The 22,961-nt window shown below is 51.4% G+C and overlaps 1 protein-coding gene and 1 long non-coding RNA gene across 2 annotated transcripts in view, besides 6 other annotated features; one reads left to right on the forward strand and one right to left on the reverse strand.

Moving 5' to 3' along the window:
- Positions 1–18,418, forward strand: part of COL4A2 (collagen type IV alpha 2 chain) — a 205,926-nt gene extending 187,508 nt beyond the window's left edge. The window contains exons 40-48 of the mRNA NM_001846.4: positions 551–676; positions 6,877–6,993; positions 8,330–8,491; positions 8,592–8,690; positions 9,056–9,202; positions 9,357–9,473; positions 11,624–11,815; positions 13,144–13,430; positions 17,143–18,418. Of these exons, the coding sequence (NP_001837.2) occupies positions 551–676; positions 6,877–6,993; positions 8,330–8,491; positions 8,592–8,690; positions 9,056–9,202; positions 9,357–9,473; positions 11,624–11,815; positions 13,144–13,430; positions 17,143–17,400 (1,505 nt within the window). The 3' untranslated portion in view covers positions 17,401–18,418. The remainder of the gene's footprint in view (positions 1–550; positions 677–6,876; positions 6,994–8,329; positions 8,492–8,591; positions 8,691–9,055; positions 9,203–9,356; positions 9,474–11,623; positions 11,816–13,143; positions 13,431–17,142) is intronic.
- Positions 4,155–4,654: an enhancer, noted in NCBI's record as "H3K4me1 hESC enhancer chr13:111151293-111151792 (GRCh37/hg19 assembly coordinates)". NCBI's record gives its function as "activates a minimal SCP1, AML or CMV promoter by ChIP-STARR-seq in naive H9 embryonic stem cells {active_cell/tissue: H9 hESC(naive)}" and the evidence as "EXISTENCE:reporter gene assay evidence [ECO:0000049][PMID:30033119]".
- On the reverse strand, positions 7,785–13,388 carry COL4A2-AS1 (COL4A2 antisense RNA 1). Its single transcript, NR_046583.1, has 3 exons — positions 13,308–13,388; positions 12,856–12,960; positions 7,785–8,137 (listed from the first exon to the last, which is right to left on the reverse strand). It is a non-coding gene; the product is annotated as a COL4A2 antisense RNA 1 (long non-coding RNA).
- Positions 8,057–8,986: an enhancer, noted in NCBI's record as "H3K27ac-H3K4me1 hESC enhancer chr13:111155195-111156124 (GRCh37/hg19 assembly coordinates)". NCBI's record gives its function as "activates a minimal SCP1, AML or CMV promoter by ChIP-STARR-seq in primed H9 embryonic stem cells {active_cell/tissue: H9 hESC(primed)}" and the evidence as "EXISTENCE:reporter gene assay evidence [ECO:0000049][PMID:30033119]".
- Positions 12,809–13,310: an enhancer, noted in NCBI's record as "H3K4me1 hESC enhancer chr13:111159947-111160448 (GRCh37/hg19 assembly coordinates)". NCBI's record gives its function as "activates a minimal SCP1, AML or CMV promoter by ChIP-STARR-seq in primed H9 embryonic stem cells {active_cell/tissue: H9 hESC(primed)}" and the evidence as "EXISTENCE:reporter gene assay evidence [ECO:0000049][PMID:30033119]".
- Positions 13,311–13,810: an enhancer, noted in NCBI's record as "H3K4me1 hESC enhancer chr13:111160449-111160948 (GRCh37/hg19 assembly coordinates)". NCBI's record gives its function as "activates a minimal SCP1, AML or CMV promoter by ChIP-STARR-seq in primed H9 embryonic stem cells {active_cell/tissue: H9 hESC(primed)}" and the evidence as "EXISTENCE:reporter gene assay evidence [ECO:0000049][PMID:30033119]".
- Positions 17,125–17,753: an enhancer, noted in NCBI's record as "H3K27ac-H3K4me1 hESC enhancer chr13:111164263-111164891 (GRCh37/hg19 assembly coordinates)". NCBI's record gives its function as "activates a minimal SCP1, AML or CMV promoter by ChIP-STARR-seq in naive H9 embryonic stem cells {active_cell/tissue: H9 hESC(naive)}" and the evidence as "EXISTENCE:reporter gene assay evidence [ECO:0000049][PMID:30033119]".
- Positions 19,479–19,978: an enhancer, noted in NCBI's record as "H3K4me1 hESC enhancer chr13:111166617-111167116 (GRCh37/hg19 assembly coordinates)". NCBI's record gives its function as "activates a minimal SCP1, AML or CMV promoter by ChIP-STARR-seq in primed H9 embryonic stem cells {active_cell/tissue: H9 hESC(primed)}" and the evidence as "EXISTENCE:reporter gene assay evidence [ECO:0000049][PMID:30033119]".

A 22,961-nucleotide genomic window follows, 5' to 3' on the forward strand; every position in this document is an offset into this window, starting at 1 on the left:
ATATAACCAAATATTGCTCTGTCTACAGGTGAATTTGTATGTGTGTATATTACACGTAAATTCACGCACTCCTGCGTCATTAACACTCCATTACAGTTCCAGTGGGCGAGTGGCGGGAAATCCTCGTCAAGTTGTCTTGCTGTTTCCTGCCATGATGGCGATGAGCACCTGATAGGAGAAGGGGGAAGACTTTAGATAGTGTTTACTTTGAAAACCTAATTAAGCATAGCCTGAAGAGAAGCCCCCAGGAGCCTAGAGGCCCGGGAGGGGTCCCAGCTCCTTGACCCACTGTTTCTGTGAATTTGAACCCTCTGATGGGCCTCGATCCTCTTATCCATAGAGCCAAGGGCTTCCACTGTGATCTCTGTAAGATCCCTTCCAAATCTCAGCTCCTGTGACCTGGAGGCCATATATTGCAATGCAAGCTGAAATCACCATGGCTGCCTCTGTTTCTTTGCTTTTGAGGCACCCCAAGCTGTTCTTTCACTTAGGAAAGTCAACTGTATGGTTGGAAACACCGACATCAGCTGCTGTTATAACTCTTCCACAGGTTCTGACATCCACGGAGACCCAGGCTTCCCAGGCCCTCCTGGGGAAAGAGGTGACCCAGGAGAGGCCAACACCCTTCCAGGCCCTGTGGGAGTCCCAGGACAGAAAGGAGACCAAGGAGCTCCAGGTGAGGCCACACATTCCAAGCCAACATTGCCGTCCCAGTAACCAGAACCCACCCAGAGGTGGGGCCATGGAGTGTCTATGGGGTGGGAGAGGCTGTGCAGAAGTGCAGGAAAGAGCTGGTTTTTCTGGGGAGGACTACCTGTTGCAGGACCTCTCAGCTAGTCTTAGTTTGTTAGGCAATTTATTTTATCCCATCAGTGTTAGTGAGGCACTGACCACCCATCCCGTGGAGTAACTGATAAGCTCCCTGGCCTAGAGACCCCATCAGATCCTCTGTGCGCCTGGGGCACTGGCACAGGCCTTGCCATAACAAGCACTCTGGGTAGTGAATGTGCGAATAAATGCATTAAACCTCCTAGCAGAGCCACGCTGACCCATACTTGGGTAGGAAATGCCCAGAAACTTGTCTTCCCACCCCATAGCCTCCCTGCTCACCAGCCAAGGTGGGCTCAAGTCTAAATGGCAGTGAGAAACATTCCTAGATAGAAACCAGGACCTTCCTGGGAGCCAGTCTGCCAAGGGTGTTGCGGTCTCATTGTGCATGAGCCCACAGCCCCAGAGTCTGCTCCTGAGATCCATGGGCCCCTCCCCCACCCCGCCCACCTCACCAGCCTGACCAGGGGCATCTCCTGGCTCAGGTACGGGAGCTGGGCAGCACACCTGGATGGACAGCCTGGGCACCCTGGGCTCCATGCTGGCAACAGAAACTCTGGCTTCCATCCACAAAGGCCTGAGTTTTTCTAGTGCCAATTCCCCATGAAGCTAGAACCAGACATCCACAGGAGAGGAAGTCAGGACCAAGGAGGCCAGCAACCCTGGCTTTTGCTGGGGTGCAGGGATGTCTCGAGGCTTGCAGATCACATCTCACTCTCCAGGATCTGCTGCCTGCCCTCTCCCCTCACCAGCAGCTGGAAACTCCAGAATCCCCTAGCCTCAGAGCTCCACAGCACTGATCTGAAGATAGGAGAAAGAGGAGGGGCTCTGCCAACAGGAGCCAGACTATCCTGGGAGGCTGCATGGTGCTGCCAGAGCCCTAGTCAGGGTGAGGATCCAGGACAGTCCACCAGCACAGCCTCAGCCAGCGGTGAGGATCTAGGGTCAGTCCACCAGCACAGCCTCAGTCAGAGTTGAGGATCTAGGGTCAGTCCACGAGCACAGCCTCAGTCAAGGATGAGGATCTAGGGTCAGTCCACCAGCACAGCCTCAGTCAGAGTTGAGGATCTAGGGTCAGTCCACCAGCACAGCCTCAGCCAGCGGTGAGGATCTAAGGTCAGTCCACCAGCACAGCCTCAGTCAAGGATGAGGATCTAGGGTCAGTCCATCAGCACAGCCTCAGCCAGGGATGAGGATCTAAGGTCAGTCCACCAGCACAGCCTCAGTCAGGGGTGAGGATCTAGGGTCAGTCCACCAGCACAGCCTCAGTCAGGGGTGAGGATCTAGGGTCAGTCCACCAGCACAGCCTCAGTCGGGGTGAAGATCTAGGGTTAGCATACCAGCACAGCCTCAGTTGGGGTGAGGATCTAGGGTCAGTCCACCAGCACAGCCTCAGTCAGGGGTGAGGATCTAGGGTCAGCACACCAGCACAAGCTCCACTGAGGAGTGAGAATCTAAGGTCAGTCCCACCAGCACAGCCTCAGTCAGGGGTAAGGATCTAGGACAGTCTACCAGCATAACCTCAGCCAGGGATCTAGGGTCAGCGCACCAGCAGAAGCTCCACCCAGGAGTGAGGATCCAAGGTGACTCCACCAGCACAACGTCACTCAGGGGTGAAGATCTAGGTCAATCCACCAGCACAGCCTCACTCAGGGGTGAGGATCTAGGTCAATCCACCAGCACAGCCTCACTCAGGGGTGAGGATCTAGGTCAGTACACCAGCACAGCTTCAGCCAGGATTGAGGGTCTAGGGTCAGTCCACCAGCACAACCTCCACTCAGGACTGAGGATTTAGGTCAATCCACCAGCACAACCTCCACTCAGGACTGAGGATCTAGGTCAGTCCACCAGCACAACCTCCACTCAGGACTGAGGATTTAGGTCAATCCACCAGCACAACCTCCACTCAGGACTGAGGATTTAGGTCAGTCCACCAGCACAACCTCCACTCAGGGCTGAGGATTTAGGTCAATCCACCAGCACAACCTCCACTCAGGGCTGAGGATCTAGGTCAGTCCACCAGCACAACCTCCACTCAGGACTGAGGATTTAGGTCAATCCACTAGCACAACCTCCACTCAGGGCTGAGGATCTAGGTCAGTCCACCAGCACAGCCTCAGTCAGGGGTGAGGATCTGGGGTCAGTCCAGCAGCACAGCCTCAGTCAGGGGTGAGGATCTGGGGTCAGTCCAGCAGCACAGCCTCAGTCAGGGGTGAGGATCTGGGGTCAGTCCACCAGCACAGCCTCAGTCAGGGGTGAGGATCTGGGGTCAGTCCACCAGCACAGCCTCAGTCAGGGGTGAGGATCTGGGGTCAGTCCACCAGCACAGCCTCAGTCAGGGGTGAGGATCTGGGGTCAGTCCACCAGCACAGCCTCAGTCAGGGGTGAGGATCTGGGGTCAGTCCACCAGCATAATCCTCCCAGGAGCCCAGCAGTAGAGTTGACCATGCCCGTGACCTTTAAATCAGACACCTGTTGGGTTCTTGTTCTGCGTCTCACGTGCACCATATTTTCACCATGTGACCTTGGCCATGGTATTGAATGTCTCTGGCTTTGTCTGTCAAATGAAAATAAAAATGCACTTGTGAGTATTGGGAGGATACAATGAGATACTACAGGTAAAGCTCTTGCACACAGGAGGCCAGCAATAAATGTTTGCTATCTTTAAAGGCCTTGAAACATAGCGTTGTTTTCAGAGTGTCATGATGATCAGTTTACCAGTCTGTCACCTGAAAGGCATCTGGGAATGCAGCAACGGGGAAGACTTGGCCAGGAGATGTGGAGAGGAGATCCCGCACAGGGAGGGGCGGAGGAAACTGAGATGGGATTTCGACAGGGTGCACACAGTGGCCCATAGAGGGGGGTCACAGAACACAGCTGCTAGCATTTTGTATGACCATGCATTGTTAACGTTTGATTCACACAGCATGATGTTCAGGCCCTGTACTTGACCACAAAAAAGATTTAAGATTTCCATCCCCAAGGACAGAGATTTATCTCATTTATTTTCCACTTAATACCTCAGCAAAATGCTTGTCCCTGAGTAAGTGCTCAACAAATACTTGCTGGAGAAGAATATTGTGAAATTGTAGGATAATTTTCTGACATCAGTGGAGAGTTACGTGTAGCTCAGAACACCCCTAAGGTAACATTGATGGCCTTATTACACATTTGATCTGTGTGGGACCCATTTATCAAAACTCTCCGTGACCTCCTGTGGCCCTCCTTGCATTCCATCCCAGGGACCTGGACGGTGTCCCCGGCTTCCAAGCCACCGTGCGGCATGCTGACTTTTGCAAGCCATGCCCCCACCCTCGACCTGCATGAACGTCACAGTGGGCCCATGAGCTGATGACTTCAGAGCAGGTCCTGGAGGCCAGGGCAGACACTGCCCAGTGCCATTGGGCCTTGGCATATGAGGCCACTGCCTCTGGCTAGTGATGAGGGAAAGACGACCTTCCATGATGACGTTCACACACTGATCATAATGTCATTCAGGACACACACTCTTCTCTCAAAATATGGGAATAATTTGAATCCGTCATCTTCCTTCGCATGAGTTGCATCTCATTTGTATTAGTTCGTTCTCATGCTGCTATGAAGAAATACCAGAGACTGGGTAATTTATAAAGGAAAGAGGTTTAATTGATTCACAGTTCTGCATGGCTGGGGAGGCCTCAGGAAACTTACAATCATGGCGGAAGGGGAAGCAAACACATCCTTCTTCACTGGCGGCAGGAGAGAGAAGTGCTGAGTAAAGGGTGGGGGGAGGCCCCTTATAAAACTATCAGATCTCCTGGGAACTCACTATCACGAGAACAGCATGAGGATAGCCACCCCCGTGATTCAATTACTTCCCACCAGGTCCCTCCTACGACATGTAGGGACTTTGGGAACTACAAGTCGAGATTTGGGTGGGGACACAGCCAAACCGTATCACAGCTCACTGAAGCTAGAGTCTGCAACCTCACCTATTTCTGCAGCTGACATTCGAGCATCAGTTCCTGATTTGGCCTTGAGTCATGCAACATGGGCCTTCACGGAACCCCTGTTAGTGAGACTCTTTTATGTCAGTACTTAGGACGATCCATGGGGGCTACTGAGAAATCATAGCGGTTTCCGTCTAGATTCCAGCAAACTGACTCATGTTTGCTAAGTGTTCTCATTAACAGTCCTCATCACTGCAGTTAAGTTAATTATGTTTTCGTGGGAATCTGCCAGTCTGCGGATTGCACTGGATCATCTAACTCAGGAGTCTGCCATTATTTACTGACACTCACCATCTGTTTCGGGTACTTTGTGACAATAGCTAGAAGCAGTTCAATTGGTGTCATTTTATATCAAACTACAGATGGTGGCTCACTCATGCCCTCAGGGCTAATGAACCCACTTGCATGTTGTCTGTGATTTGTGAGACAAGCCTCACCTCTCTAAATATTTATCCTGCTGTTTGTTTTGTCCTACTTGGAAGCACGCATGAATGGAATCCTTTCCCCTGGGATGGATAATGGATACCAGGATCTTCCAAAGGGAAAATCTCTTCCTGCTGCTGATGCGTGTAGATTAGTCATAAAGCCAGAGGGGAAACAGAAAACCACTGTTGCTACCTTTTCTCATTTTTATAGATTTGCACTGTTTCGCCCAGCTCACTATTTCCTGCAGAGCAGAAGTGATGCCCTCCTTGCCCACTTGGACATTCTGACATTTTGCAGGGTTCTAATACTAATCTTGGTCCCCAGCCCGAGGTAAAACAAAAGGCTGAAGGTGCTTAGGAGAGAAAGTAGACTTAATCCGCCCACTCAAGTCCACACTGATTTCTACCCACCACTGCCCTACAGCACATAAAGCTCCATTAGTGTCTTGTTGGCTGACAGCACAGGGAGGAGTGGAATTTCCACAGATTTCCTTATGTGGCCATTTCCCTCTTACTCTCCTACTAGTGCCAAAGAGCTCCAGCCTTTGACCCAAAAACTGTTGGTTCTCATTATTCGCAGTAGTTATGTTCTGAAGTCACCAAGAACACTGACTTAGTGAATACTGAACCATTGCTCCTAGGGGAAATACAAGGCTAAGTTCCTGCAAGCCTCTGCTCACAAGATGTTTGTCAATGATCAGTATATAAGCTGGTTTTCTGTGTAACGGCACCTTGTTTAGTGTGGATTGCTGATTCAGGAACAGTCAACATGCACTCACTCGTGCCTGAATGCAGCTTCTCTTACATATGTGTTTCTCCATAAGGGACTTCACAGCCTTCTTGCACTTACCAACAGTAGGATGCACTTCAACACAATACATGGGGGGCATTTGAAACAGCAAAATCACCAGCATAAAGCACAAAAATGTGGAAAACAGGGCACTACAGAGACCAAGACAAGGACACGTGTGTACAGTATGAGCTGCAGCAAGAAGGCAGGAGCGTCACCTTGCTGGATCTCAGCTGGGACTCATTTTGCCTCTGTGTATATCTGTGAATGCCAGTGTTGATTTGGGGGGGATTCCAAGTGAGTTTTAGTGAGTGGACAAATTGGGAAACACAGAATCTGTGAATAATGAAGACCAACTCTATCCAAGCTGGGATCCGAGGCACTGGAGGACAGCCGCAGGGAGGGTTGACAATAGTGATGTCAATTGTAAGCCTCATTTGCAATTTTTCAACCTTCTGTCCATCACCTGTGCTGACCACTGTCCACACATATCAGGATCAGAGTCTGACCAGCTGTGCCTCGCCTGGTGCTGAGGCTCCATCTAAGCATGATCGGGCAGCGCCTTGGGGAAGTCGAGCACAGGCAGACAGGATCCCAGTGGAGGGCTCCTCACAGGAGAAAGGCTGGGGTGGGGGAGGGGTTCACATAGCCCCTGCCCCCCCAACCCCGCCCTGAGGGCCTCCCCAGCCCCACCATGAGATGTTCCTTGGCCTGAGGGCACCTCCCATCACTGTCTCGCTCGCTAGGCTCTGGTCCACCACAGGTGATGGTGTGGAGGGAAAATAGTAGATTTGAAAAGTTGGGTGCTAACGCTGAAAATAATTTCTTCTGTTTTCATCCTAAGGGGAACGAGGCCCACCTGGGAGCCCAGGACTTCAGGGGTTCCCTGGTATCACACCCCCTTCCAACATCTCTGGGGCACCTGGTGACAAAGGGGCGCCAGGGATATTTGGCCTGAAAGGTAAGCAGGACTTATACATCTGTGCTTCGACATCTCTAGGGGCAGGAGCTGGCAATGGCCCGCTTAATGTAGGGGGAGAACAGACGTTCATTTCCACGCTGTGCCCAGACTCCGGTCAAAGAGGCAGGAGCCATGATGGCTCCTCCTGTGTCATTTCCATCACCTGCACGACCTGGTCCCTGGGAAGCTGAGACACAGGCCATGTCATTTACTTGCTGTAATAGCAGATATTCAAACTGCAGGGGGCTCAGAAATGTGCAGTATGAACGGCTTTCTTCTTCCTCACTGTATTGTGTTTAGACAAGTATTAAATTTAATTTGCACTTCCTAATCACGAACGAGCTGAATATTGGAAAGAGATGGCGTAAAGATGAAGTCACCCGTCAAACAAGTGTTTGTGCGTCAAGGTTCACAGCAGCACTACTCACAAGCACCGAGTGCTGAAAGCAACCCGAGTGTCCATCAACAGAGGAATTAAGAAGCAAAATGCAGTCAGTATCCACCCAGTACAAGAGGAGTCCGTCTTTTTTGTTGGGTTGTTTTCTTGTTTTTTGTTTTTTGAGACAGCCTTGCTCTGTCGCCCAGGCTGGAGTGCAGTGGCACGATCTTAGCTCGCTGCAATCTCCGCCTCCCGGGTTCAAGGAATTTTTGTGCCTCAGCCTCCTGAGTAGCTGGGATTACAGGTGTCCACCACCAAGCCCAGATGATTTTTGTATTTTTAGTAGAGACAGGGTTTCACCATGTTGGCCAGGCTGGTCTCAAACTCTTGACCTCAAGCAATCCTCCCACCTCGGCTTCCCAAAGTGCTGAGACGACAGGTGTAAGCCACCTTGCCCAGCCTTTATTCGGTCTTAAAAAGAAGGAACTCTTATCACCTGCTACCACCTAGATGACCCTTGAGGGCATTCTGCTGAGTGAAAGAAGCCAGTCACAAAAGGTCGGATTCTGTGATTCCACACATACGAGGCCCCTGAAGTCATCAAATTCATAGAAACAGAAAGTACAATGGCTGTTGCTGAGGGTTGGGGGGAGAGGGACACGGGGAGTGCGTGTATAACGGGGACAGATTTCAGTTTAGGATGAGAAAGTTCTGGAGCTGGTCGGCGGTGAAGGTGAATATATTGAATGCCACTGAGCAGTGCACCTAAAAATGATTAAAATGGTAACTTTTATGTTCTACGTATTTTACGACAATTTTTTAAAAACATAGACAAAGTCATTCCATGCCACAGACTTGCCAGAGACTGTCGCCTGAATGGGTGACGGTGCACCTGACTGCCCCCAGGGGCCTTGGGGCCCTGTTTAAACCCTCCTTTCTTGTCCCTAATGCCAACAGGTTATCGGGGCCCACCAGGGCCACCAGGTTCTGCTGCTCTTCCTGGAAGCAAAGGTGACACAGGGAACCCAGGAGCTCCAGGAACCCCAGGGACCAAAGGATGGGCCGGGGACTCCGGGCCCCAGGGCAGGCCTGGTGTGTTTGGTCTCCCAGGAGAAAAAGGTAACAGTGCCCATGGCCATGGGCCAGCAGCCCTGGCCACAGTGAGAGGAGCCCCCTCCCCACAGACTTTCGTGTCCCTAACGTCTTGTTTGTGTTGCAGGGCCCAGGGGTGAACAAGGCTTCATGGGGAACACTGGACCCACTGGGGCGGTGGGCGACAGAGGCCCCAAGGGACCCAAGGGAGACCCAGGATTCCCTGGTAAGTGACCGTCTGGTATCTTCAGAGCTAGTGGCTCAGCCCAGCCTCTCCAGGCTTGGGGACATCCTGGAGGTCAAACGGCCAGGATCCTCTCTGGCATGGGTCACATGTTGTAAAGAGCAGGGAGGAAACCAAGGCTGTGCCTCGGATGTTGTCACAGGACCTTGGGGAATGGAGAGCTTAATATTCAAACGGCAGGCGCTGAGTCACGGCTCAGGCCCGTTAGTGTCTGGCTCATCTCTAGAAAGCACAGTTGTCTGGGAAGCTCCAAAAGAAGCCTCCCTGGTGAGAAACGCAGTAGCACTCGGAGCAAGAGAGTGGAACGACCTTGTGTGTTTACTGGGGCCTCTCTGTTTCCCTTCCAGGTGCCCCCGGGACTGTGGGAGCCCCCGGGATTGCAGGAATCCCCCAGAAGATTGCCGTCCAACCAGGGACAGTGGGTCCCCAGGGGAGGCGAGGCCCCCCTGGGGCACCGGGGGAGATGGGGCCCCAGGGCCCCCCCGGAGAACCAGGTAGAGTGCTGAGCTGGGGCCTGGAGCCCCTCGGGGCTGCCCGGGCAAGGCCAGGGCCTGCTGGCATTGCGTCCTCTTGTGTTCTCTTTGTGGATCGCCGGCCGTGCCAGGCGTGGTCAGTTTCCAGCCATAACGCTTCTTTGGTGGCTTGCAGGTTTCCGTGGGGCTCCAGGGAAAGCTGGGCCCCAAGGAAGAGGTGGTGTGTCTGCTGTTCCCGGCTTCCGGGGAGATGAAGGACCCATAGGCCACCAGGGGCCGATTGGCCAAGAAGGTGAGTGACAGTGGGGAAGGACCTTCCCAGGTCCTAGTGCTCTGGATCTGACTCACAGACTGTGGTCTGCAGGAAGGGGACACACGAGAGCCCAGAAAAGCCAGAAATGAGGCGCTGCCCCACCCTCCTGCTCCTAATCTGGGCGTAGCAGCTACACTCCTATGCCCAGCAGAACACCTGGCCCCGAGTCCTGGGACAGCCTCCCTCCTTTTCCTGGGACACCTGCGGTGCTGTGGAGTGGGCGGCAGGGATCAGTAGACTTCAAGGGTCAGGATTAGACAAGGAGCCAAAAGAAACCGACTATTAAAATGTACAAGAGCCGCACTGCGAAGCCCTGTCTTACTTTTTTTTCTTTTTTGGACAGAGTCTCGCTCTGTCTCACCCAGGCTGGAGTGCAGTGGCGCAATCTCAGCTCACTGCAGCTTCTGCCTCCCGGGTTCAAGCGATTCTCCTGTCTTAGCCTCCCAAGTAGTTGGGACTACAGGCATGTGCCCCCATACCCAGCTAACTTTTTTGTATTTGTAGTAGAGACGGGGTTTCACCATGTTGGCCAGGCTGGTCTCGAACTCCTGACCTCGAGCGATCCGCCAGCCTTGGCCTCCCAAAGTGCTGGGATTACAGGTGTAAGTCACCGTGCCTGGTCGTCTTATTTTTTAAAATTATTTGCACATATACAGAATGAAATAGGCCAGGAATAACAGCTATTCATGAAAAAAAAAAACCTCAAAATTTGTCTTAATCAACCTGAGCTCAGTTTGAGCCAATGGTCTGAGCATTAAAATTAAAATTAAAATTAAACATAGGGGCCGGGCGCGGTGGCTCACGCCTGTAATCCCAGCACTTTGGGAGGCTGAGGTGGGCGGATCACAAGGGCAGGAGATCGAGACCATCCTGGCTAACACGGTGAAACCCCGTCTCTACTAAAAATACAAAAAATTAGCCGGGCGTGGTGGCGGGCGCCAGTAGTCCCAGCTACTCGGGAGGCTGAGGCAGGAGAATGGCCTCAACCCAGGAGGTGGAGGTTGCAATGAGCCAAGATCGCGCCACTGCACTCCAGCCTGGGGGACAGAGCGAGACTCCGTCTCAAAAAAAAAAAAGAAAATTAAACATGGGTAGTACTATTGGTGTCCAAGTCAAAGGAAATAGCAGTCCCCTGCCCCTGGGGACAGATCCGCAGCCGGCAAATTATGGGTAGTGTGGGGTGCACCTGAAAACAAATGCCAGCAAATGGGAGCCCGCCCAGGGTAGGAGACAAGCTAGGGATGGTGGAGGGGAAGTGTCCTGGGAGAAAGGGCCATGACCATGGGTGTCCCTTGGAAGGGGAGGGGACAATGGGAGAAAGGGTCACTGGGGATAGCTGAGAAATATTCACAGAGCTGCTGTGCTGGAGGCAGATGAGCCACCCCCGTGTGCTCCTCGGGTAGGAGTTACAGGAGGCTGCACGCAGAAAGAACATTCTAACCCAGGCTGTGGTCAAGTGCGCAGTCAGCATGGCCTGCGATGAGCCATGTCTCCTGGAAGTGTCCAGCGGAGGGAGGCCACTGCTGGGGGTGGGGGCTGGCCTGCGATACTCCTCCGGACACTTCCAACGCCAGGCACGTTGGGCACATCCTGAGGGGCACATGCCTACCTATGGCTGACTGAGTCTTTTATGGAAAGGACCCCTCCTCTGTGCCCAGTGCCCTCACTGCCATCATTTCATGCTACTGAGAACAAAGTGTGGATCAAATCCTTCCCAAGAGTCTCCTGATCTCAACAGACTGAGCCCCAAGATCTGGGGAAGGAGAGCGATGGTTCTAGGCGCACCTGGAAACTGCCCTGCACTCCTGGGTCCCGAGGTTTCTGTGGGGCGGCTGTCAAGGGGGCTGCTCTCTCTCTCTTTCTCAGGCTGCAGGTGCACTAGGCCGTCCACTCTCTCTCTCTCTCAGGCTGCAGGTGCACCAGGCCGTCCACTCACTCTCTCTCTCGGGCTGCAGGTACACCAGGCCGTCCACTCTCTCTCTCTCTCTCTCTCTCGGGCTGCAGGTGCACCAGGCCGTCCACTCTCTCTCTCTCTCTCAGGCTGTAGGTGCACCAGGCCGTCCACTCTCTCTCTTTCTCGGGCTGCAGGTGCACCAGGCCGTCCACTCTCTCTCTTTCTCGGGCTGCAGGTGCACCAGGCCGTCCAGGGAGCCCGGGCCTGCCGGGTATGCCAGGCCGCAGCGTCAGCATCGGCTACCTCCTGGTGAAGCACAGCCAGACGGACCAGGAGCCCATGTGCCCAGTGGGCATGAACAAACTCTGGAGTGGATACAGCCTGCTGTACTTCGAGGGCCAGGAGAAGGCGCACAACCAGGACCTGGGTAGGTACCTCCCACCCGGCCCCCGTTGCCTGCTCAGGGCTGGCCCGGAAGTGGCCAAGATCAAAGGGCCACAGCGAGACTCCCAAACCCTCCACGGCTGGTAAGTTCCCCTGACGGAAGGGTCCATCTACATTCCTCGAGTGCAGAAAGATTAAAACGGCCTTTGAAGCAGAAGCCTTACAAAGCCCTTAAACCTCAGGACCTTAACACAGGGACCTGCCTTTTAACCTGGTATTGACTTCCGCAGGCTCCCATGTGACCCGTCTGACCCCCGACCCCTCTCCAGTGGAGACCACCAATTACTTCACCTCCTTCTTGTTTTTGACCCAAGTTCTGTAGACTTGGAGTCAGGCAGGGGCCATGAGGGGCTGGGGTTCATGTAAGACTCTCCCATACAGCCCCCCGAGGAAAATGGACCCATGGACACGTGTGCATGCTCTTATTTAAGGAAGCCTTTGAAAGGCATTAACGCGACTTCGAATACAGAAAATGCAATACACACAAATTACAAGTGGAGGTAGCTTAGTCTGAGGTCCTCTTTGAGGGGGTGACGGGAAGGGTCTCTGGGATACTGGCTGTGTTCTGCCTCCTCGGTGCAGGTTACATCAGGCGTTCTGCCCCCGGGAAGCATGTTGCTGGCTCATGGTGCCTTCACATTCCTGCCTGTGCGCCCCGCCTCCACAATGAGTTTCTAAAGAACAACGGGGCAAAGGCCGCCAAGGATAAGGGCCAAAAATAGATCTAGGAACAGGGCCAAGGAGGCAGCCTAGCACCGGGCATGTTTGCTAAAGGTGGCTGCACTTCTGGGTCTGAGCTTTTCAGCAATCCATGTGAAGAGGGAAACCTGCTTAGCTGCAGCATTCGTTGTGGCCAGGAGATAAAGGCTATCTTAGTCTCCAGAAGCAATAAAGCTACATGGAAGGGAGAAGGGCCAGGACTCCTTCTGGGGTGGCTCCTTGGGGTCAAAGAGCGACCCCTTGGAGGCCATCAGAGTTTTCTTGGGGCCAGTGCTGTTAAGACCCCACTAAGGTAAGGCTCACCCAAAATGCTATTCCATGAAGACGCCACTCCCTGGTGATCCAACTTGGCCCAGTATGTGTGAGAACTTGTAGAAGAACAGAGCTGTTCCAAAATGCCAGTGGAGTCTGATCAAAAAGAGAAAAAGAAAGAAATTGGGAAGCCTTAGCCTGGCCCTCCAGTAGGTGGCTAAACTCCACCAGGTGCCCTGGGGCGAGTCCGTGACACACAGCCTCCTGGGCCTGGCTGGGGCTGGCAGGTGCGTCTTCTAGCCACACTGCACTGTGATCTCATGACCCCTCCTTCCACAGGGCTGGCGGGCTCCTGCCTGGCGCGGTTCAGCACCATGCCCTTCCTGTACTGCAACCCTGGTGATGTCTGCTACTATGCCAGCCGGAACGACAAGTCCTACTGGCTCTCTACCACTGCGCCGCTGCCCATGATGCCCGTGGCCGAGGACGAGATCAAGCCCTACATCAGCCGCTGTTCTGTGTGTGAGGCCCCGGCCATCGCCATCGCGGTCCACAGTCAGGATGTCTCCATCCCACACTGCCCAGCTGGGTGGCGGAGTTTGTGGATCGGATATTCCTTCCTCATGGTATGTGGTATTTGCCCAGTTCCCCTCCCCAACCACACCCTGCTGGGGACACAGCAAGAACAGCTGCCTTTGTGAGAAGAATCAGACACGGCAGTCCAGGGTGTGCACTGCACAAGGGTAGTTGGCCCAGGAAGCGAGCGAGAGCTGGAACACAGCTTACACTTGGCTAACTGAGCCACATGCTGGGCACAGGGCTTCCTCCACCCAGAAAGGGCTCATTAATTTGCCACCAGGCCTTTGTAAGGAGTGTAACCAGGACGAACTTGCCTGTTATCCGTCTTACTAGGTACAACACCAACACCAAAGGTGCAGCTGCTTTGGGTTTACCAGAAGTCTAAATATATGGGAGACTTTTCTCTAGAATCCTGATCTTATTTAGAATCTATCTGGAACCTAGAATACCCTGAAGAAATACCTATTAACTGGCTGGCTTAAAATGGATATATATTCGTGAGGAAAATTCTGGAATACCTTTGGGTATAAAATAGAGAGCCTGTGGATACTTTGAAAGCCAGGAGAAGGTGCACAACCAGGACCTGGGAAGGCACCGCCCACCCTTCCGGATCGCCTTTGGGTATAAAATAGAGAACCCTCAGCTTTGGCCAGATTAGGTTTAGCTTAACCTCCAGGGGAGAGACCACAGCACCATAGTGTCTCTTGCAATATTGCCTATTAAAGCAGAGGCTCCTCAACTTGGAATAGGGTCCCGTCCCGATAAATTCATTGTAAGATGAAGATACTATAAGTTGAAAGTGCGTTTTCAATTTATGATGGGTTTATCTGGATGTAACCCCACCAAAAATCAAATAGTGAATTGAATACATATTGCTTTTGCACCATCGAAAACTCAAAAATCCTAAGTCTAACCATGGTAAATCAGGGACCATCTGTATACTATTGTAGGGAGAAAAGAAAGTCTCACTGAGGACAGTGGGTCTTCCAGTGAGTTTATTTATATGCATTATAACTGTCATAACTCCAGCTATATGGATTGGATGCCCAGCATGTTAAATATTTCATAAATTATATATATATATATATATATATATACACACACACACACACACACACACACAACATAAAATATAAATTACATAGTGATTGCTAATCTTTCAAAACAACAGGAAAAAAAATCCGGATTCTAGGAAAGGAAGGAAAAGATAAACAAGTATTGGCATTTTAATAGGTATCGTTGCTATGATAAGTTGGAGCAACAGGATGCTAAATCCTGGGCAGGGACAGGCACAATTTCTACCTTTCCAGAAGCTTATCATGGAAGGTGACTTTGGAGCAACCTTCTTTTGTTTCACAGTGACCTTCAGGGTGCCCCTGTGTCAGGAAGTAAGCTTTGGTTGCTCCTGTTTTTTTCACTCCCGTTGTTAAATTCAAAATAAATGAGCCTCTCCCTTGTGAAGGGCATGATTACACAGTATCCAGAAAGGTCAGGCATCCCCTGTTCCATTAGCATCAGGTTTCAAATGACTGTCACGAGATAAGCAGACATTATCCTCTGCACACGTAACTCTCTGCTTACATAAATGGCTGACAGCCCCAGCAAGCCTGGAACTTGACATCCCCAAAAGGCATGGGTTGAGACGGCTCCTGGGTCAGGACAGATGGGCCAGAAGTACCTTGACTTCTGAGAACAGAAAGTCCCCATTGTCCCTGACAATGGATAAGTGAGCAGACACATCTGTGTACTGGAGATGTGCCCCCTCCAGATGTGCCCTGACTGCCGTCTAGGAGGCAGGACCTAAACCAAGACAGCTGTGTGCCTCGTCTGCACTTTAAATACTCTTTGATCCCTTCTGTGTGGTGACAAGCATATGGTACCACTAGGGCTGCTGGCATCTCAGCATAATAAGAGCTGACTTTGGAGAGGAGAGGACAGCTTGGCTGAGAGCAACTGCCCCACCGTCCCCAGTGGGTACGCAGAAGGCGAGAGCAGTGCTGAGGCTAGCGCCTGGCTCACCCTTCTTTTGTCCGTGAGGATGGGTGGCCCCAGAGGATGCATTTTCTGCATTCCCTACAAGCGAGCGCCACGTGGGAGGGAGGACAAGGGCAGAGCCCCGGATGCAGACTGCAGCAGCAAAAGTCATTTTCCTCCCCTCCCCTCGGTGGCCTCTCTCAAAGCTGCTCTGGCAGAGGCTACAAGTATCTAGCCAGCCGTTATTTTAGTTCCTCTTTTTTCAATTCTGGCTACTATCTGGAGCCCTCACAGCCCCTTCTCCAGGTCAGCCTCTCGTCCAGGCAATTCTCTTAAGATACATGAGCTGCTATGAGTACCAAGCCAGAGGTTTGTCCACTGAGAGAAGCACATTGGAAAGGGTGCGTGTGCCTGGACTGTGTGCACTTATGCACGTGTGTGCATAGGGGTGTGTACACAAGCATGCACTGTGTGTGTGTGTGTGTACATGCGTGCATTTGTGTGTGTGCATGAGTGTACACCATGTGTGTGCATGTGTGCATGTATGCATGTGTGTGTGCGCAGCAAACTCAGCTCTTACCTGGCTGGTGCCAGCCTCTAAGACTTCTCACATTGTGCTCCCTTCTGACCTCGTTCTGGGAGTCCCAGGTGTCTCCTTTGGGCAGCTCCCAGCATGGCCTCAGCTCCTTCAGACCAAAGTGAAGCCGGAGGTGCCCTGGAGGACGTCTCCACTTCTTATTACCTGCTCATTAGCAGACAAGAGCAGGCAGCTCAGGGCTGGACAGGCTTCTGCCTTATGTGAGCAGAACACTTTTTAAAGGTTTTTGGGTTTTTTTTTGTATTTAAAGGAAAGCTTAAACTGGGGCCCCTGCCCAAATATATCATAGAACAGCCCCTTTTTTCCCTGCAAACTGAACTGAGATATTTCTATTCTAAGTAAACAGATTCCAAAGCCCACTTACCACTCAAAGCCTGCTCAGCCAAGCCAAATGGCCCTTATACACCAACTCTGGGATCCAGGAGGCCTGCCGTGCGCTTCCATAAAGGCTAAACATGTTGATGCAACAGAAAGTAGAACTTTAAAATGAAAAAAAAAAAAAGGCTTCCTTGAAGACCTCAGCCATCTCCCAGCCAGCCTCAGAATCAACTATTTAACAACCTCTGATTGAAAAAATATATATTTAATTACACAAGTAATACATATTTATTGTGAAAAATCAGCAAGTACAGATTTAAAAAAAAAAATAAAACCACTCATCTTTCCTCCCTGATCATCAGCATTTTCAGAGAAGGAGCTGGGAGGCCTGGCTGGGTGATTATTTTTAACTTATTAGCCTCAGATGCCAGCCTACATCTTAATTTTATTTTTTTCTTCTAAAAAGAGTAAACATTGTGTTATCTCTTCTGCCAGGTATTTTTCTTTGAATGGATGATTAGGCAGATGTTTTGTTTTGTTACTGAAATGCAGTGGATTATATCTACCGCTCGTATCTGCTGTCACGGCTCTAGTTCTTACCGAACGGCCAGCCTGGCTGTGAATTAGTGTCCATGCAGCTGCCTCTGCAGCACGTCCTGGTGCCTGGGGCTGCCTCCTGCAGGGGGCCCATGTGTATTTCACCAGCCCCCTCTTGCTGAAGGCGCATTCGCGAGGATGCCTCATGTCCGTATTGACACTCATGGTTTGCTGTTCAGTAAAAACAAATGCACAGAAGAGGGCTATGCCCTGACCCCGTGCCACCTGCAGGCTGTGATTCCTAACCCTGTCCTGCCCCCCTCTCTGTGCAGCACACGGCGGCGGGAGACGAAGGCGGTGGCCAATCACTGGTGTCACCGGGCAGCTGTCTAGAGGACTTCCGCGCCACACCATTCATCGAATGCAATGGAGGCCGCGGCACCTGCCACTACTACGCCAACAAGTACAGCTTCTGGCTGACCACCATTCCCGAGCAGAGCTTCCAGGGCTCGCCCTCCGCCGACACGCTCAAGGCCGGCCTCATCCGCACACACATCAGCCGCTGCCAGGTGTGCATGAAGAACCTGTGAGCCGGCGCGTGCCAGGAAGGGCCATTTTGGTGCTTATTCTTAACTTATTACCTCAGGTGCCAACCCAAAAATTGGTTTTATTTTTTTCTTAAAAAAAAAAAAGTCTACCAAAGGAATTTGCATCCAGCAGCAGCACTTAGACCTGCCAGCCACTGTCACCGAGCGGGTGCAAGCACTCGGGGTCCCTGGAGGGCAAGCCCTGCCCACAGAAAGCCAGGAGCAGCCCTGGCCCCCATCAGCCCTGCTAGACGCACCGCCTGAAGGCACAGCTAACCACTTCGCACACACCCATGTAACCACTGCACTTTCCAATGCCACAGACAACTCACATTGTTCAACTCCCTTCTCGGGGTGGGACAGACGAGACAACAGCACACAGGCAGCCAGCCGTGGCCAGAGGCTCGAGGGGCTCAGGGCCTCAGGCACCCGTCCCCACACGAGGGCCCCGTGGGTGGGCCTGGCCCTGCTTTCTACGCCAATGTTATGCCAGCTCCATGTTCTCCCAAATACCGTTGATGTGAATTATTTTAAAGGCAAAACCGTGCTCTTTATTTTAAAAAACACTGATAATCACACTGCGGTAGGTCATTCTTTTGCCACATCCCTATAGACCACTGGGTTTGGCAAAACTCAGGCAGAAGTGGAGACCTTTCTAGACATCATTGTCAGCCTTGCTACTTGAAGGTACACCCCATAGGGTCGGAGGTGCTGTCCCCACTGCCCCACGTTGTCCCTGAGATTTAACCCCTCCACTGCTGGGGGTGAGCTGTACTCTTCTGACTGCCCCCTCCTGTGTAACGACTACAAAATAAAACTTGGTTCTGAATATTTTTAAACCCCGAGTTGTTGACCGCCTTAATCTCGTGTCCATAGAGCAAAACGTCTGCTCAGATGGATGCGAGGCACAGCGTCCGCCCACGCTGCTGTTTTTAATCCATCTCAGTAGAGTTGAACCCATTCGTGGTATTACAGCCATTTCTCGGGGAATGTGTTTGTTTATAACTCACTAATGCTTACAGAAAACACCCCAACCAGGCCATGCGTGCTGGCTCACGCCTGTAATCCCAACACTTTGGGAGGCCGAGGCAGCTGGATCACCTGAGGTCAGGAGTTCGAGACCAGCCTGGCCAACATGGTGAAACCCCGTCTCTACTAAAAACATAAAAATTTTCCGGTGATTGTAATCTCAGCTACTCGGGAGGCTGAGGCAGGAGAATCACTTGAACCCGGGAGGCAGAGGTTGCGGTGAGCTGAGATCGTGCCACTGCACTCCAGCCTGGGCAACAAAAGTGAAACTCCATCTAAAAAAAAAAAAAAAAAAAAGAAAAGAAAACACCTGAACCAGCACTTGTGGGAATTTGGAGAAAGGGTACTTCACAAATGTAAGTCATTCAATTTGTTCCAACATAGGCTGGGTGCAGTGTCTCACATCTGTAATCCCAACACTTTGGGAGGCTGAGGTGGGAGGATCACTTGAGCCTAGGAGTTTGAGACCAGCCTGGACGATATAGTGAGATCCATGTCTACAAAAAAAAAAAGATCCCACATAACTTCCCAAGTCAAAGCTCAGTATTTCAAAGAAACAATCTCCGAGATTCAACTCACAGTTTATTTTGACCCTCTGAAATGCAATCTCAAATTGAAGTTTTCCTAAGAAAAAGGTTCACATTATGAAATAAGTATCCTACCTTATAATGTTATTTGAAATAGATACGCAGCCGCCCTGGCGCGTGTTCCCCCAGAAGCTGGCTGAGGCCACGACCTCTACACAGCACGGCTATATGGGAAGGCGATATCAGGAAGCCTGAGTGGGACCTGGAGGGGGTGATACCAGGAAGAAGAAAAGCCAACTCAAGGACATGGGACTAAGGGGGTTACCACTGTGGGCTGTTTAGGCTTGATCCTGCTGGGGATCCACCAAGGAAGGATCCTCAGATGGTCCAGCCATGGCTTGGAAAGGGAAGTGTTCTCCATCAGCTGCGGTCTCGACTGGTCAGGGGTTGCCTGAGGGTGCTAATTCCCTCACACTCCCAGGTGCACCACACACCAGCATGGCTGAGTGGGCTCCTGCCAGATGCCAGGTGGAGGTGGTAGAGAACCAGGCAGAGCTGAGACACGGTGTGTCAGGCCACACCTGCTCATGGCCAGTCACCACAGCAATAGCTGTAGCAAAACAGTGGGCCCAGAGCGTGTGAGACGGGGATCAAGAGACCAGAGCTCGCAACCACAGCAACTCTAGAAGCTGGGAAGCAACAATTCATTCTAGACTCCACCCCTACTGCCAAGGAGGCAACCGCAAAGTGTGCTGCAGTCCTGAAGACCCCTGCTCGACTTGAGGTAGGCTTGATACCTTGTGTGTGGATCACACCTCAGCGTCAGTGCCCAGTGTTAAACATAAAAGAAATGTTTCACCCTAGACCTAAAATAAATGAGAAGACAAAGATCCTCAACAAATAATTGGTTTCCAAAATGTGGATCATAAAATATAAACCAATCACAATTCATAACCCTGACATCTGTGCCAGGGAGCCCACGATCCCGCTGAAGTATAGTGAGTGGAGATGCCTCATCTGGAATCGAACCGCTGAACATCCTGCACCTTGAAAATCAGAGCTCTGTCCTTCATGGATCCTGCATGTTGCAAAAGACAGATTTTTTCCAGGCTAGTTTCTTGGTGCCAGGAATAACTGCTCCCTGAGAGCTGAGTGTGCTTGAACCACCCTCTAATGATGTGCCACATTTTCCAGAGGGTGGGTGCCCCAAAGTCAGAATCACTTCCATCTCCCAGCTGCTTCAGACAGTGACTTTCAGCACCCCTGGCAGAGACGCTGCTGGAATGCGCATGAAGATGCGTCTGCAGCCATCCTGACTGGGTAGGGGCGCCCAGGAAGACTCACAAGCCCTGGAGAGCACATCAGCCTTTAAACCACCCAAGAAGAGCACGTTGGCAAGGACGGCCTGGATGGGTTGCTTCAGTGGGCTGGGCCTCCGGTAAAATGAATGAAAGTACCTGTGCATCAGAGTGACATCAGGAGAATGAAATCAGTCACTACACGTGAACGTGCCCAAAGCCGCAGGTATGTATGCACTCGTACGTGTCCAGGACCTAAGAGGAAGGAGGTAGAGAATCGCTGCAACCTGGGAGTTCTAAATGTGTTGAGGTTGAGGACTGTGATTTAAAATGCACAGTGCAGGGAAGGGAGGAGAATGATTTGGAAAGTAAATTCCATGACATGCTAGACAAGGAAGGGAAGGGTAACACTGAGCTGATCTTAAAGTGACAGACCAAACCCAAGCAGATGTCTTGAAGGCAACGAGGGAACAGCATCCTCACCTCCCACACGTGGTACAGCAAGAGCCTCACTCTGCAGACTCAGGAAGGCACCAAGCTACAAACATCTATGAGCTATTTGTATTCATACAGCATAAGTTCAGCTCAGCCAATAAAATGTAAGGCTGTCCTTCCCCCTGAGAAATACTCAGTGCTTCTGGTTACACCTGGAGGTGGCTTTTCCTTGAGGCTGCCTTCCTGGAAAAGGGCCATCCACTTATTTAAAAAGAAAAAACCACAGAAGTTTCAGGAGCTCATTGAAGCCGGTAGGGGAAACGTGCTATTAATAATATAAGTAATTTGGAAATGAGTGGCGTCTCTAAGAACAAAGGCAAAGAGAACTGCACACAGCATTGTACTCTAGTGGATAAAGTTGTTTCTTGCAGGAGTACCAGTGAACAGTGCTGACACTATATTCATGCTAAAACTGAACCATTGGTTGGGCGCGGTGGCTCACGCCTGTAATCCCACAACAGAGCGAGACTCTGTCTCAAAAAAAAAAAAAAAAAAAAAAAAAAGAACCATTAATTAAGCGGATGGTCGATGGTGGGAGCCATGTTTCTCATTGTTGAAGGAGAATTTACAGCAAAGTGGGGAAATGACACAATGGTTAGAGTCCGAGATATCAGTAGGAACTCGGGTTTAACCTATTATAGACACCTATAGTCACATAAAGAAATATCTGTAGGGGTTAGTACAGACACATGTATTTCTTCACTCTGTCAGCTGAGAGGGCCTCAGAGAAGCAGCCCTGCAGGAGCAGTGAGCACACCTGGCCCCAGATCTGGGATTCTAACACTTCTCCAATAAAAGGACCCGAGGCTCCTCGGGGAGATGGCTGATTCCGAGACGGGGGCAGGAAATATAGACCATGAGACTGGAACATCTTGTAGTGCCAGAAAGTAAGGAAGTGCTCAAATAAAACCCCAAATGGAGACATGTGGAAGGGACACGGGAGCCATCTGAAAGAGCTCCCAAGATGAAGCCATCTGAATAAGAAAGTGAGACAGTACTGGATAACAACCCAAAGAATAAATATCCACGAGTCCATTCTGAGTCCTCAGCCTTCCTCTCTAAGGATAAACTGCTGTTCCCAGCACTCAGCGAGGTTCTCAAGGCTGAACGGTGTCCGAGGGAGAGTGACTTATGGGTGGCACATCTCCTGCACGGCCTGTGCCCAGCTGTGTGGGGCGGCTACAGCTCCGATGTTGATGCACGTGTGTGTGCAGCTGTGCAGTGGCACGTGTGGCACACGTACACCCTCCCCAGAAAAGAAGCACCTTTCCTGCTCCTACACCTCCCCGTCAGGCACCTCTCACAATTCTGCCAAAACCAAGGGAGATGAAAAACGAAATGTCACAAAGGCAATGTGCCTTTTTTTTTTTTTTTTTTTTTTTTGAGACGGAGTCTGGCTCTGTTGCCCAGGCTGGAGGCTGGAGTGCAATGGCAGGATCTCGGCTCGCTGCAGCCTCCACCTCCTGGGTTCAAGCAATTCTCCTGCCTCAGCCTCCCGAGTAGCTGGGAGAGGTGTGCACCAGCACACCCGGCTAAATTTTTTTGTATTTTTTAACAAAGATGGGGTTTCATCGTGCTGGCCAGGCTGGTCTTGAACTCCTGACCTCAAGTGATCCCCTCCCAAAGTGCTAGGATTACAGGCATGAGCCACCCCGCCTGGCCCCAAGGCAATGTGCTTTAAAGTGAAGCTGGCTGTCTCTCTGGCATTACAGAAAAAGGGAAAATCATTGCTTTCTGGCCATTTTTCTGTAGTGGCTGCTTCATGGTGACATTACTTTGCTGGGGTTGGAGGTGGAAGAGGATGGTCATCTTCCTCCTGTGGTCCAGCCTCTGCAAAGTGCTCTCCCAGGTGCTTTTCCTGCCTCCCACTACTCTGTGAAGTAGGTACAATATACTCCATTTCATAAAGAGATTTTCCCCAAAGATGGCAAATCAACTTGCCCAAGATAACACAACCCACGTGCTCAGGGGGCATTCAAGCCAAACCTCTACACTCCCTTCAGGAACCGAGCTGACTTCCTAAAAACAGTGACCACTGAGCATCAACCATGTGCCAGGCACCCGAGGCACTTCATATAACATTACCTGCCATGTCCAGAAGCCTCAAAGGGTGGGGTCATTTCCACATACTCGAGAGTCCCTGCACCTGAGGGGTATTTCACAATTTCATTGTACAAGCCCATTTTAATTAACTAGGTTCTTCTCAGAGGCCAGG

This window comes from Homo sapiens, chromosome 13 (genome assembly GCF_000001405.40).
Source record: "Homo sapiens chromosome 13, GRCh38.p14 Primary Assembly".
Lineage (NCBI taxonomy): Eukaryota > Metazoa > Chordata > Mammalia > Primates > Hominidae > Homo > Homo sapiens.